General features: G+C 37.1%; 3 annotated features.

Annotated features, from left to right (window-relative positions):
• Window positions 12,480-12,559: an enhancer, noted in NCBI's record as "active region_1407". NCBI's record gives its function as "activates an Ori minimal core promoter by ATAC-STARR-seq in GM12878 lymphoblastoid cells {active_cell/tissue: GM12878}" and the evidence as "EXISTENCE:reporter gene assay evidence [ECO:0000049][PMID:35858748]".
• Window positions 12,860-12,909: an enhancer, noted in NCBI's record as "active region_1406". NCBI's record gives its function as "activates an Ori minimal core promoter by ATAC-STARR-seq in GM12878 lymphoblastoid cells {active_cell/tissue: GM12878}" and the evidence as "EXISTENCE:reporter gene assay evidence [ECO:0000049][PMID:35858748]".
• Window positions 12,930-12,979: an enhancer, noted in NCBI's record as "active region_1405". NCBI's record gives its function as "activates an Ori minimal core promoter by ATAC-STARR-seq in GM12878 lymphoblastoid cells {active_cell/tissue: GM12878}" and the evidence as "EXISTENCE:reporter gene assay evidence [ECO:0000049][PMID:35858748]".

Here is a 16,192-nt window from a genome sequence, read left to right as displayed (position 1 = left end):
CAGCCTACTGTGGGACCCCATGTTTGTGTAAGTTAATACTTAATAAACTCATATATATATATGTATATATATTAAGTATATATACACACATATGTATATATATTAAGTATATATACACATATGTATATATACATATATGTGTATATATTAAGTATATACATATACTCCCATATATATACTGTCATATATATAGTCCCGTGTGTGTATATATATATATATATGTATACTTTGCAAAAAATTTCTCCCATTCTGTAGGTTGTCTGTTTACTCTGTTTACATATATATATATATATATACACACACACACACACATATATGAGATATATACCCTATTCTTTCTGTCCCTTTAAGAGAACCCTGGCTAATAAAGGTAGTCTGAGTAACACTCTTTGAAAATATTCCTATAATGAGTCCTACTCATCACAACACTTGGTGTAGTAGCAAGGTATGCAGCAGAGACCTACCAAATCACAATTCAGTTGAGGAAATTCCACATCCTTCACATCTATATCTGTGGAATCTATAGCTCTCTATTCAACTGAGCATTCCACATGAGATAAAATTCAGTGAGAACATCAGCAGGGAGTCCCATAACCATTCTCTGTACTAACCTCAATTCCATTCTAATCTAGCCTAGAGGATAGTAGTCTAGACAAAAGTGTTCAGTGGGACTACCTTAAAAGAGAAAGACTCAATTTAGTCATGGTTTAAATTTCTACACACAGATCTTGAGTAGAAGGAGTCCTTGACAAAAGCAATGGTAAATTTGGGTAAGGCATAGAATTTTTGTAATATCAAATTACTGAATTCAGTCATATTTCTCTATGGTCATTCCAGCCTTCCACAAGAATTAACCTACCTCATTTTAATAATTTTAATGCATTAAATTTGAAGCACAATATTTATAGTTTCTGTGTAAAAATTTTACAGCAAAGGAAATTTTATGACAGAATTAGAAAAACATCCCCAATTACTTAATTTTAGAAGAGAAAGATTAAATTAGTACATCGAATTGAAAAACACTCTTTCAGCAGAAGTAATATTAAGAAATGAGAAGAATTTGGAATAAATGTATATGTCAGTTATTATATGACAAGATCATATAAAAGTGATCATAAAATCTTGAACTCCTGAAATATTCCTAATAATTTCAGCAGAGTTTTTACCCATAGTACATTTCATACCCTCACCACAATAGTGATCTGTCTGAAGTCTTATATTATCTACTGCTATATTTATACTATCCTTCAGCTGAATCAGAGTCAATATGAGAAGGCCAGGACAAAAATAAATACATAAATAAGAATAGAGGCGTCTTGCCACAGTTTTTTTTTTATGGTTGATTATAACAAACAATATTTTTGAATTTTATGATGTAATAATCAATAGTTCCCGTTAAAGGTATTTTATTCCATTTCTCCACACAAATCTCAGGCCCTTCACAATTCTTGACACACATAACTACCATCATCATCAGAATTGTCATATAAAAACTCATTATTTTCTTAGTTCTAAGATGCTTTTGATTATAAGAGATCTCATTGATTTCATAACAGCATGTGGCAGTGGATTAAGAAGGGGAGAAGACTACTACTTAAGGTACACATTTGATATGAAATATATTATAATTTCAAATTAAATAACAGTTTATAAAAATGCCAAAGTCAAGCAAAAACGTTGTGTTCAATGTGAATATTTAGTTAACCTAAAATCCTCAAAAATAATCTGACATTCTCATTCATTCTTTTATTTGACAAATATTAATAGATCCCCTATTATATCACTATCCTAGGTGTTGGGAATATAGCACTAAAATAGAAAAGAATTTCAGCTGTCATGCAATTTTCATTATAGAGGAGAAATCAAATGATAAGCAAGATGAAAAGCAAAATATACAGTATAATGAACTATTGTTGGTGCTAAGAAAAAAATACAATAGAAAAGAGAATAGGAAATATTGGAAGAGGGCATTAAACTTTTTAAAGAATAACTAAGAAGAGCTTCACTGAGAAAATGGTAATTGAGTAAAGACATAAAGAAAATCAAAGACCCAGCCTTAAGGATATCTGAGAGACCAACATTCAATCAGAGAGAATTACAAATGCAACAATATTGTGATAGATATGCTAAGAGGCCAGCATAACTAAATTAGATTGATTGAGGGGGAAAGCAAGAGTACATAAAGCCAGAGAGCTATTGATGGGGGGCTTTGAGGTGGCATAAACGAGAGAAAAATCATGTAGAACTTTGAGGTATTTGTAAGAATTCTGTGTTTTCAAGGCTGAGGTGGGAAGTTAATGGATAGCTTTCAAAAGAGAAGAAATATAATACATCTATATTCTTCAGGGTTCACCAGAGAAACAGAATCAATAGAATGTGTGTATATATGGAAAGATATTTATTTTAAGGAACTGGCTCACACGACTGTAGAGGTTTGGCAAGTCCAAAATCTGATAGGAGAGGCCAGCAGGCTGGGGACTCAGGAAAACGTTGCTATTCAAGTTGAAAGGCAATCTACTGTAGAACTAGTACAAGGCAATGTTGCAGATGAAGTCTGAGGCAGTCTGCTGGAGAATTTTCTCTTGCTCAGAGGAGGTCAGCCTTTTGTTCTATTTAGGCCTTTCACTGATCAGATAAGTCCCACCCACATTATAGTGAGCACTCTGCTTTACCACAAACTCCCCGATTTAAACTTACATTTCATCCAAAAACAAACCAAAAGAAACATCCAAAATGTTTAGCTAAATATCTGGGCACCATGCCCCAGACAAGTTAGCACATGAAATTAATCATTACAGCATCTAAAAAGATGAATGAAGGGAGGAAAGAACAGAATTGTTCTGTCTGGTAAAGACAGCAGAATTGGCTCTTATGGAGGGAAGTTATAGTTGGGTAGATCTAAGTTCATATATTAAAAAATCTTTCATAAATAATTTATGGAAAAGCCTGTGTGACATTTGGAAAATATTACTCCATTGTTAGGGGGCTGAACTAAGTGAACAGATTCCTTTATTACTTGTCAATCTCATGATTCTGTGATTTGTTGAGGTAATGTACCTACAACCAAAGTTAGTCACAACTTTTCAAAATTTCTTACTCTCAAATGAAAACGTTTTTTTCAGGTTTAGCCAAATGAATATCTTTCAGAGTAAATTCTGAACCTTGATTCTTAACTATAGCAATAACATACCAACTGCCTTAGCTCAGTTGACAAGCACTTAGCCCATAATATTCCGCTCTTGGCTCCTCAAAATTAATGTCCTCCATGTATGCAAAATACGTTCCTTCTATCCCAAAAGCCTCAAAAGTCTTAATTCATTCCATCATCAACTCCGAAATTTAATGTTCAGACTTTAAATATCATCTAAGTCAGATATGGGGTAAGACTTCAGGTACAATTCATCCTGAGGCAAAATTCCTCGGCAGCTGTGAATCTGTGAAACCAGGAAACTTATGTGCTTACAAAATATGATGTAGTGGCAAGCATAGGATAGATATTCTCATTCCAAAAGGGAGAAATAGGAAATGAGGAAGAGATTATGAGCCTCAAGCAAGTCTAAAACCCAGCAAGGCAAATTCCATTTGCTCTTAAAGCTCAAGAATGATCCTTATTGGTTCAATGTCCACCCTTCCAGACCTGCAGGGGTGGCAGTGTCACCTCCTTGGCTCGGTGGAACTGCTTCGTTCCTTTGGCTGGACATGCCACCATGGTGGCCCTGCCTCCCTTTTTTTTTAAGGCAGAGTCTCACTCCTGTCGCTCTAGCTGGAGTATAATGGCACTATCACAGCTTACTGCAGCTTCAACTTCCCAGGCTCAAGTGAGTCTCCCACCTCAGCTGCTCAGGTAGCTGAAACTACAGGGATGCACTACCATGGCCAGCTAATTTTTGAATTTTGTGGAGATGGGATTTCACCATGTTGCCCAGGCTGCTCTTGAACTCCTGGGCTCAAGTGATCCACCTGCTTTGGCCTTTGAAAGTGCTAGGATTACAGGCGTAAGCCACTATGCCTGGCCACCCTGCCCTCTTAAACTGAGAAGGAAATGACCTTGCTGACTGGGCCCGTGGTGGAAGCGGTAGCTGCGATGATCTCTGAAATGCCTTTGGGGCCATTCTTCCCTTTCCTTGAAAAATAGCATAAATTCACAACCAAATAGCTCTATTTTCCTATTCTATAGAATTCTAGAAATTTAATGGCTTTCCTTCATTCCGTCCTACTTTCACTCTCACCATTAGTTCAAATTGGCAGGGTCTCTGCTATTATAATCCAATCTCTATCCCTGGCTTCTACTGAGATGGCTGATTAAGGCCATGAGTCACACCCATAATCTCTATGTTAATCTCGGTTCTCCAGAGAAACAGAAAAAAATAGGATATATATATGGCGAGAGAGAGAGATTTATTTTAAGAAATTGACTTACATGATTACAGTGGCTGAGAAGTCCCAATATTTGCAGTCAGCAAGCTGGAGACCCAGGAAAGTATAGATACAGTCTAAATTTGAAGGCTTGAGAACCAGGAGAGTTGCTAATAGTGTAAATTCCAGTCCAAGTCTGAGTTCAAATTCAAAAGCAGGAGAAGACGGTCAGGCAGAGAGAAAGCAAATTTACCCTTACTTAGCCTTTTGTTGTATTTAGGTCTTCAGTGGAGTAGATGACAACCCTGGTGAGAGCAGTGTGCTTTACTCAGTCTACCAGTTCAAATATTAATCTCACCCACAGCCACCCTCACAGACATACCAAGAATTATGTTTAACCAAATATCCAGACAACCCCTGGCCCAGTCAAGTTGATACATAAAATTAATCATCACAATCTCTTTATCAAATTGTTGTTCAGCCACACCCTTAGTGCTAAGAATTTCCAAATCTCCAAATTCTAGTTTATTTTTGCTTGAAAATTTCTTCTTCAATTCATCTCTCCCTTCTTGCATTTTACTGTAAGCACTAAGGAGGGCCAAATCAGCACCTTCAATACACAGCTTAGGAATCTTCTTTGCTAAATATCCAATGTCATCACACATAAATTCTACCTTCCGCAATACATTAGAACACAAGTCAGCCAAGTTCTTTGCCACTTTAAAACAAAGACTGCTTTTCTCAAGTTTCTAATATGCTGTTTCTGTTTTCTTTCTGAGCCCTCACCAGAATGGCCTTTAATGTCCATATTCTGTCAACATTCTGTTTATGATTATTTATATATTCTCTAAGAAGATGGAAGCTTTCTCTCTAGCTCTCCTTATTTCTTCCTGAGCCCTCACCAGAATCACCATTAAATGTCTGTTTTCCCACTAATAACCTCTTCATGGCAATCTCAGCTTTTTCTAGTGTGCATCTCAAACTCTTCCAGTCTGTACCCAACACCCAGTTCTAAAACTACTTCACGTTTTTACAGATTTGTTACAGCAACATTCCACTTCTCAGTACTAAGATTTGTATTAGTCAGTTCAGGCTGCTGTCACAAATATTATAAACTTAGTTGTTTTAAACAACAGAAATTTATTTTCTAAGAGTTCTGGAGGCTAGAAGTCCCAGATTAAGGTCCCAGCCAATTTGGTTTCTGGTAAGAGCTCGTTCTCAGCTTAAAGGTAACTGCCTTCTTGCTGTGTCCTCATGATAGAGAGAGTCTAAACTCATGTCTCTTCTAATGACACCACCAGTCCTATTAAATCAGGGTCCCACCTCATTTGGCTTTAATTACCTCCATAAAGGCCCTAACTCCAAATATAATCATACTGCGGGTTGGGACTCCAACATGTATACTTTGGGGGAAACAAACATTCAGTCCCTATCAATATTCTATCTCTATTTTTGCAAATTGCCAACTCAGTAGAACTTATATAAATATTGTACCAAACAATTTACTATGATCATCAATGTGAAATGGATGCTAATACCTCTCCATTCCTGGTTGGTTTGTTTGTTTGTTTGTTTTTCGGTTGTTGTGTTTCATTTCTGTAGGATTTTGGGGAAGAGGTGGTGTGATGGTTAATATTTAGTGTCAACTTGACTGGGTTGAAGGATGCAAAGTATTATTCTGGGTTGTCTCTGTGAGTATGTTGCCAAAGGAGATTAACATTTGAGTCAGTGGACTGGAAGAGGCAGACCCACCCTCAATCTGGGTGGGCACCATCTAATCAGCTGCCAGCATAAAAGCAGGCATGGAAAGAGCAGACTTGCTGAATCTTTGGGCTTCCCTCTTTCTCCCTTGCTGTATGCATCCAGCCCTCAAACATCAGATTCCAAGTTCTTCAGCTTTTGGACTCTTTGACTTATACCAGTGGTTTGCCGAGGGCTCTAAGGCCTTTGGCCACAGACTGAAGGCTGCACTATGAGCTTCTCTACTTTTGAGGTTGGGGACTTGGACTGGCTTCCTGGCTCCTCAGTTTGCAGGTGTCCTATTGTGGGACTTCACCTTGTGATCATGTGAATCAATTCTATAAACTCCCCTTCATATATTCATTTATCCAATTAGTTATGTCCCTTTAGAGAACGCTGACTAATACAGGTGGCATTTGGTTACATGAATAAGTTCTTTAGTGGTGATTTCTGAGATTTTGGTGCACCCATCACTCAAGCAGTATACACTGTACCCAATTTCTAGTCTTCTATCCCTCACCCCCGTACCACCCTTTCCCCAAGTCCTCAAAGTCCATTGTTTCAGTCTTATGCCTTTGCATTCTCACAGTTACCTCCCAATTATGAGTGAGAACATACAATGTTTGGTTTTCCATTCCTGAGTCACTTCACTTAGATTAATAGTCTCCAATCCCATCCAAGTTGCAAATGCCATTAATTCATTCCTTTTTATGGCCGAGTAGTATTCCATTGTGTGTGTGTGTGTGTGCATATATATATATACAATTTCTTAATCCACTAGTGGAGTGGTGGGCATTTGGGCTGGTTCTATATTTTTGCAATTGCGAATTGTGCTGCTATAAACATGCATGCACAAGTATCTTTTTTGTATAATGGCTTCTTTTCCTCTGAGTAGACACCTAGTAGTGGAATTGCTGGATCAAATGGTTGTTCTACTTTTAGTTTTTAAAGGAATCTCCATATTGTTTTCCATAGTGGTTGTACTAGTTTATATTCCCACCAGCAGTGTAAAAGTGTTCCCTTTTCACCACATCCACGTCAACATCTGTTGCTTTTTTCATTTTTTTTTTTATTATGGCCATTCTTGCAGGAAAAAGATGGTATCACATTGCAGTTTTGATTTGCATTTCCCTGATAATTAGTGATGTTCAGGATTTTTTCATATGTTTTTTGGCCATATCTTTGTATATCATATCTTTGTATATCTTCTCTTGAGAATTGTTTATTCATGTTCTCAGTCCACTTTTTGATGGGATTGTTTTTTTTCTTGAGAATTTGTTTCAGTTTCTTGTAAATTCTGGATATTAGTCCTTTGTCAGATGTATAGATTGGGAATATTTTCTCCCACTCTATGGGTTGTCTGTTTACTCTGCTGGTTGTTTCTTGTGATGTGCAGACCTTTTAGTTTAATTAAGTACCATCTATTTATCTTTGTCTTGCTGCATTTGCTTTTGGGTTCTTGCTCATGAAGTCTTTGCCTAAGCCAATGTCTAGAAGGGTTTTTCCAATGTTATCTTCTAGAATTTTAATGGTTTCAGGTCTTAGATTTAAGTCCTTGATCCATCTTGCGTTGATTCTTGTATAAGGTAAGAGATAAGGATCCAGTTTCCTTCTTCTACATGTGGGTTGCCAACTATCCCAGCACCATTTGTTGAAGACAGTGTTCTTTCCCCACTTTAAGTTTTGGTTTGCTTTGTCGAAGATCAATTGTCTGTAAGTATCTGGTTTTGTTTCTGGGTTCTCTATTATGTTCCATTGGTCTATGTGCCTATTTTTATACCAATACCATGCTGTTTTGGTGACTATGGCCTTATAGTATACTTTGAAATCAGGCAATGTAATGCCTCCAGATTTGTTCCTTTTGATTAGCCTTGCTATGGCTACGTGAGCCCTTTTTTGGTTCCATATGAATTTTAGAATTTTTTTTCTGGTTCTGTGAAGAATGATGGTATTTTGATGGAAATTGCATTGAATGTATAGATTTCTTCTGGCAGTACGGTCATTTTTATGATATCGATTCTGCCCATCCATGAGTGTAGGATGTGTTTCCATTTGTTTGTTTTGTCTATGATTTTTTTGCAGCAGTGTTTTGTAGTTTTCCTTGTAGAGGTCTTTTATCTCCTTGGTTAGGTACATTCCTAAGTTTATTGATTGATAGATTGATTGATTGATTGCAGCTATTGTACAAGGGGTTGAGCTCTTGATTTGATTCTCAGCTTGGTTGCTGTTGGTGTATAGCAGAGCTACTGATTTGTGTACATTAATTTTGTATACTGAAACATTGCTGAATTCATTTATCAGTTATAGGAGCTTTTTGGGGGAGTCTTTAGGGTTTTCTAGATATACAGTTATATTATCAGCAAACAGTGACAGTTTGACTTCCTCTTTACAGATTTGGATGCCTTTTATTTCTTTCTCTTATCTGACTTCTCTGGCTAGGACTTCCAGGTCTATGTTAATAGAAGTGGTGAGAGTGGGCATCCTTGTCTTGTTCCAGTTCTCAGGGGGAATGCTTTCAACTTTTCCCCATTTAGTATTAGGTTGGCTGTAGGTTTGTCATAGATAGCTTTTATTACACTAAGTTATGTCCCTTGTATGACAATTTTGCTGAGGGTTTGAATCATAAAGTGATGCTAGAATTTGTCAAATGCTTTTTCTGCATTTATTGAGATGAAGGGTCACGTAGTTTTTGTTTTTAGTTCTGTTTATGTGATTTATCACATTTATTGACTTGCATATGTTAAACCATCCCTGCATCCCTGGTATGAAACCCACTTGATCATGGTGGATTATCTTTTTGATATACTGTTGGATCTGGTTAGCTAGTATTTTGTTAATAATTTTTGTATCTACATTCACCAGGGATATTGGTCTGTAGTTTTCTTTTTTTGTTATGTCCTTTCCTTGTTTTGGTATTAGGGTGATATTGGCTTCATAGAGTGATTTAGGGGGGATTCCTTCTTTCTAGATTGTGGAATAATTTCAACAGGATTGGTAACAATTCTTCCTTGAGTGTCTGATAGAATTCAGCTGTGAATCCATCTGGTCCTAGATATTTTTTTTGTTGGTAATTTTTTTATTACCATTTCAATCTCACTGCTTGTTATTGGTCTTTTCAGGGTTTCTATTTCTTCCTGATTTGAGCTAGGAGGGTTGTATAGTTCATGGAATATATCCATCTGCTCTAGGTTTTCTAGTTTATGCATGTAAAGGTGTTCATAATAGCCTTGAATGATCTTTTGTATTTCTGTGGTATCAGTTGTAATATCTCCTGTTTCATTTTTAATTGAGCTTATTTGGATATTCTCTCTTCTTTTCTTGGTTAATCTCACTAATGTTCTATCAATTTTATTTATCTTTTAAAATAACCAGGTTTTTGTTTATTTATCTTTTGTTTTTTTTGTTTCATTTTCATTTAGTTCTGCTCTGTTCTTGGTTATTTGTTTTCTTTTGCTGGGTTTAAGTTTGGTTTGTTCTTGTTTCTCTCATTCCTTAAAGTGTGACCTTAGATTGTCTATTTGTGCACTTTCAGACTTAGCACCACCTTTGCTGTATCCCAGAGGTTTTGATGGGTTGTGTCATTATTATCATTCAGCTCAAAGAATGCTTTTATTTCTATCTTGATTTCATTGTTCACTCAACAATCATTCGGGAGCAGTTTATTTAATTTCCATGTATTTGCATGGTTTTGAGGGTTCCTTTTGGAGTTGAGTTCCAATTTTATTTCGCTGTGATCTGAGAGAGCTCTCGATATAATTTCAATTTTCTTAAATTTATTGAGACTTGTTTTGTGGCCTATCATATGGTCTATCTTGGAGAATGTTCCATGTGCTGATGAATATAATGTGTATTTTGTAGTTTTTGGGTAGAATGCTCTGTAAATATCTGTTAAGTCCATTTGTTCCAGGGTATAGTTTAAATCCATTGTTTCTTTGTTGACTTTCTGTCTTGATGATCCATCTAGTGCTGTCAGTGGAGTACTGAAGTTCTCCACTATTAATCTATTGCTGTCTACCTCATTTCTTAGGTCTAGTAGTAATTGTTTTATAAATTTGGGAGATCCAGTGTTATGTGCATATATATTTAGGATTGTGATATTTTCCTGTTGGACAAGCCTCTTTATCATTATATGTCCCTCTTCATCTTTTTTAACTGCTTTAAAGCTTGTTTTGCCTGATATAAGAATATCTACTCCCACTCACTTTTTATGTCCATTTGCATGAAATATCTTTTTCCACCCCTTTGCCTTAATTTTATGTGAGTCCTTATGTGTTAGGTGAGTCTTTTGAAGACAGCAGATACTTGGTTGGTGAATTCCTATCCATCCTGCCATTCTGTATCTTTTCAGTGGAGCATTTAGGCCATTAACATTCAATGTTAGTATTGAGATGTGAGGGACTGTTCTATTCATTATGCTATTTTTCCACCTTTTAAAACAAATTTATTGTGTTTTATAGGTCTGTGAGATTTATGCTCTAAAGAGGGTCTATTTTGGTGTATTTATGGGATTTGTTTCAATATTTAGTGCTCCTTTTAGCAGTTCTTCTAGTGCTGCCTTGATAGTGGCAAATTCTATCAGCATTTGTTTGTCTGAAAAAGACTGTATCTTTCCTTCATTTCTGAAGCTTAGTTTCATTAGATACACAGCTCTTTCCTGATAATTGTTTTGTTTAAGGAGGCTGAAGATAGGGCCCCAATCCTTTCTAGCTTATAAAGTTTCTGCTGAGAAATCTGCTGTTAATCTGATGATAGGTTTTTCTTTATAGGTTACCTGGTGCTTTTGCCTAACAGCTTTTAAGATTCATTCCTTCATCTTGACTTTAGATAACCTGATGTCTATGTGCCTAAGTGATGATCTTTTTGTGATAAATTTCCCAGGTGTTGTTTGAGTTTCTTGTATTTGGATGTCTAAGTCTCTAGCAAGGCTGGGGATGTTTTCCTCAATTATTTCTTCAAATATGTTTTCCAAACTTTTAGATTTCTCTTCTTCCTCAGAAACACCAATCATTCTTAGGTTTGGTCATTTAACATAATCCCAAATTTCTTGGAGGCTTTTTTCATTTTTTTTTTCTTTTTTCTTTGTCTTTATTGGATTGTGTTAATTTGAAAACCTTGTCTTCAAGATCTAAAGTTCTTTCTTCTGCTTGCTCAAGTCTATTGCTGAGACTTTCCAGTGCATTTTGCATTTTTCTAAGTGTGTCCTTTATTTCCAGAGGTTTTGATTGGTTTTTATTTATGCCATCTATTTTACTGAAGATTTTTCCTTTCATATCTTGTATCTTTTTTTATTTCATTAAGTTGGACTTCACCTTTCTCTGATGCCTCTTTGATTAGCTTAATAATCAACCTTCTGAATTCTTTTTCAGGTAAATCAGGGATTTCTTCTTGGTTTGGATCCACTGCTGATGAGCTAGTGTGATCTTTTGGATGTGCTAAAGAAACTTCTTTTGTCATATTACCAGAATTGTTTTTCTGGTTCCTTCTTATTTGGGTAGACTATGTCAGAGAGAAGATCTGGGGCTCAAGGGCTGCTGTTCAGATTCTTTTGTCCCACAGGGTGCTTCTTTGATGTAGTGCCATCCCCTTTTTCCTAGGGATGTGATTTCCTGAGAGCAGAACTGTAGTGATTGTTATTTCTCTTCTGGATCTAGCCACCCAGCAGAGCTACTGGGCTGGTACCAGGGGATTTCTGCACAGAGTCCTGTGATGTGATCCTTCTTCAGGTCTCTCAGCCATGGATAGCAGCACCTGCTTTGGTGGAGGTGGCAGCGGAGTGAAATTGACTCTGTGAAGGTTCTTAGTTGTAGTTTTGTTTATTGTACTAGTTTTTTGCTGGTTGGTCTCCTTCCAGAAGGTGAACTTCCAAGAGAGCATCAGCTGTGGTAGTATAGGGAGGATCAGGTGGTGGGCAGGGCCTTGGAACTCCCAAGACAATATGTCCTTTGTCTTCGGATATCAGGGCGGGTAGAAAAAGACCATCAGGTGGGGGCAGGGTTAGGCAGGTCTGAGCTCAGACTATCCTTGGGTGGGGCTTGCTGTAGACACTGTTGGGAATGGAGTGTGTGGTTCTCAGACCAATGGAGTTATGTTCCTAGGGGGATTATGACTGCCTCTGCCTTGTCTTGTAGGCCACCAGGGAAGTGGGGGAAATCCAGCAGTTACAGGCCTCACCCAGCTCCCACATATCCCAAAGGCCAGTCTCACTCTTGCTGTGGCCCCCTCTACAGCACCAAGTTTGTTTCCAGGCAGTGGGTGAACAGGGCTGATAACTTGCTCCAGGCTACCAATCTCCAGCTGTAAAAGCAAGCAGGGCTTTCAGGTTTCATGGCTCCCCACCTGCCACAGCTTCTGTGCTGTGTCTGCACTCCAGATTCACCCCTCCCTCAAGTTCCATCCAGGAAACTTTGTGTTCAGTTGAAGTTGTTACACAGTTCAGCTAAAAGTTTCCTCCCTGTGGTCTTTTCCCAGTTCCTCTGGCAGCACTCCCCAAGGACCTCTGTGAGACAAAGTCAGAAATGGTTTCCCTGGGGACCAAGAGAGCCACAGGGCTCTTCTAGCTGCTTCTTCTACCCTTGTATTTTGCTCAGCTTTCTAGAATTGTCTCAACCCCGGGTAAAGTCAAATCCTTCTCTTGTGATCTGAACCTTCAGGTTCCCCAGTGAGAGTGTGTGTTTGGGGGTGGATGATCCCCCTTTCACACTTTCACACTTTGGCTGTCTCTCGGGGCCTGCAAGAGTGATTCACTTCCTTCAGAGGGTCTGTGAATTCTCTCAGATTTCCTGGTATGTTCCTGTGATAGATGTGGGAGCAAAAGTTCACGATGTGAGTCTCCACATGCTGCTCTCTGTCTGAATGGGAGCTGCAGTTTAGTCCTGCCTCATATCTGCCATTTTCCCCAACCTGTCTCCATTCCTGTTTTTAGCAATAGGAAGACTCACAGAGATACAGCAGCCTAGACTTCAACCAGCTTGTCATCTCCAATCAATTATTTGTGGATACATTGAGCACTGTGCTGACAGGCTCAGCTTTAATGTCATGATCTGTGAGTAATGTCTGCCATGACTTTGATTATATATTTTCCACATACCTATCATAAGTGTAAAGGGCTGTAAACCCAGACATTAATAATTATATAATTACTTTAGCCTGTTATTGTTTGTATCAGCAAAAACAAGGTAATAACTGTCCAATAATTGGGGGTAGGTTAGATAAGTTATATGTAATGTAGCAATATTTGACTATTAAAATATAATCTATACATTTATCAGATGATTGAAAAGATGTTTATGATTATTATGTGAAAAAATGAGTTTCAAGTTGTATAAAATATGATCACATTTTTCAAATGGATTGTTGAGATAGGATGTATGTTGAGACACTATTTACATATGTAAATATAAAGCAGGTCAGAGCTCAGAGCTCTTCCTCATCTCTTTATTTTCTTTTCTACTGCTTCCTAGGAATTTTGTGTTTTGTTTTTTCTTATATTGTTATTGTTGTTGTTACAGTTATTATTTCATTCTGTTTTGTTTTGTTTGTGCCTTTTTAAGGTAGGAAAAAAGAGAGAGAGAATCTGTTAGACTAGTAAAGTATTACATTTTTGCTATAAAAGGCATCAATATAATCAAAGGGTTTTTTGCCTGTAAATGTTTAATTCTGATTTTTACAAAACATCCCTTCTAAATAAAGCACAGAATGAAAGGCCCTGACACCACCTTTTCAAGAGTGGAAACCAATAAACTAGCAGAGAGAAAAAATGGTAAAAAGGGAGCCCAGAGGGAGCCCATCTGAGGCAAACCTGGATGAACTGACACATAACTCAGAGGAGAAAGTAAAGGACTGTTCTGTATCATCTTCCAAGCTTGGTACATCTTGAACATCTAGTAGTAAAGTTTTCTCAATGTACTTAGCCTTAATATCCTTCAAGATGTCACTAGCATAACTAAAGGATATGTGTGCTTATGGGTGTGTTTTCAGAAAGAAAGTCAGAAATAATGTCTACCAAAGTGTTAACAGTAATTATCCAAGAGTAGTGATATTATGCATAGTTCTTACATTATTTTTGCTTATTTATATTTTCTAACTTTTTTCTACAATAAACACAGAGAGTTTTAAATGAGATTTTTAAAATTATAGCTATGATTTTAAAAGAGAGAAAGAAAAATCATACAAAGGAGATTTCAGAAAAGAAGATTCCCATATTCTCCCATGTTTTCTTCTTCATGGCAGGTAATAGAACATGTTCTTACTTCTGGAAACTGCAAAGCTGGAAGGGATCTTAGAGGTGATATGGTTCCTCCTTCTCATTTTATACATGAAGGAACTCAGGTCTAAGATGCTTAGTATTGCTCCCACTCAAGGTTCACAGCAGCAGAACAAAAAGTAATTTACATTTGTTGATTCTTAATTTAATACTTTTATAATGTGGCAGAAAAAACAGCATCATAAAAGTTTAAGATTCTACAGTGTCTCCAGTTAATTCTATCCAAAAATAAAAAATTAAAATAGGAGGTTTGTTGGCCAATAACAAAAGAATGGAGGCAGCAAAGCTGGAAATATATGCCCAATCAACTTGGAGACATTGTCTTAAATTTATCGCCAATCTTCTGGGATATATTGAATGGATATACAGCTATAAGCTGCCCTCTTTAAACTAAACACTGCACTATATTCTTGCCCTTTATAACAACTTCCTCAGTGAAACCTGCCCTGTGATTATATCCTCCTCATCTGTCCCAAGAGAATAAGGCAAAAATATTATTAAAACCTTAGCTTTTTTCAGTGTCATCTCTTAAATATATCTGTTTCTGACTCATAGGCAGTATTTTCCTTTTATCTATTTCTTACTCATATGAATGAAGCTTTAAAGAAAATTTTACACTGATGCATGCCTCCAACTTGCCTCAGGTAAAATGAATGAGACAACATCTACACAGCACTTTGAGCTCCCCAGACAGGGACATCAGAAATGAGCAGTAGCCTTGCTCTTGTCAAAGATATCAACTGAGCCTGGCAAGACTCCAAACCATAGAATAACTTTCCTGACCCCTCATCTGTATCTCTCAACTAGATACAGAATTGAAAATAGGAACCAGTCATTTGGGGTAAAACATATGCCAAAATAGTTCTGCAGCGTGGGTAAGAAAAAGGGTGAGATGTGCAAAGGGGAAGCTCTCTGAAAGCAGAGAATATAATTAAGTCAACTTTCAAATTCAAATGTACTTCTTCCTTTCCCACATGTTCTAAATCAGACCTCTTTCCCATAGGGCTGCAGATGGTGCCTCTAGGGCTGGCTGTCACTGATCTCTGAAGGGTAAAACTGAACTGAAACCTACAAGCTTCACACCTGTGGGGTCAGCTTCATTAACAACTTTGACCTTTGCTCGTTTTTAAGAGCTGCCCCAACAAATATCACTGCAAACAAGGTGCACCCTGACTCTTTGGTGATATATCACCTTCTCTTTTCACCTTGACCCTTTGGTCATATATCACCTGACCCTTTGGTGATACATTACCTTCTTGGCAATCTAATTTTAAGTCTCACTTCATGTTAATCCAGGACAGGGATCTTAAGTCAGTCTTGAACTCTCTTTGTAAAACCTAAGGGAGGTTTAACTACTAATTTACTGCTTGGACCTCAATTAACATCTGTTTTTAAAAATCACTTAACATTGCCACAAAATAATAGTTCTATGCTTCTCTGACAGATTTCATCACCTCAGTTTTCCAACTTTTGACCCAACTACAGTTAAAGCATGAAAAAGACACATTGGTAAGGCCAGCTAGTGGTCACGTCACACATAAATTACCACTTTCTACTGTAGGAACTGTCTCCATCTGTAGGAAAAACCTGGAGAATCCTGTAAATAGCAGAAATATTATAACAAATCTTTGGTGAATGGAGGAAAGTGGTGGAATTAAAGGTAGAACTATCAGAAATTACTTAAAAAAAAAAAAGGACTTGTGAGGCTTGTCCACAATACTTATCCCCATTTTACACAATAAAAAACCTAGACACAAAGAGGTTAACTTGCCCAACTTATACAACTAAATTATAAAGATTCCTATAAATATATTCTCAATATGTGAAGCACAT

Source organism: Homo sapiens, chromosome 1, assembly GCF_000001405.40.
Source record: "Homo sapiens chromosome 1, GRCh38.p14 Primary Assembly".
NCBI classification, from domain to species: domain Eukaryota; kingdom Metazoa; phylum Chordata; class Mammalia; order Primates; family Hominidae; genus Homo; species Homo sapiens.
Note: the sequence above shows the minus strand (reverse complement) of the source record. Positions and strands in the feature narration are given on the sequence as shown.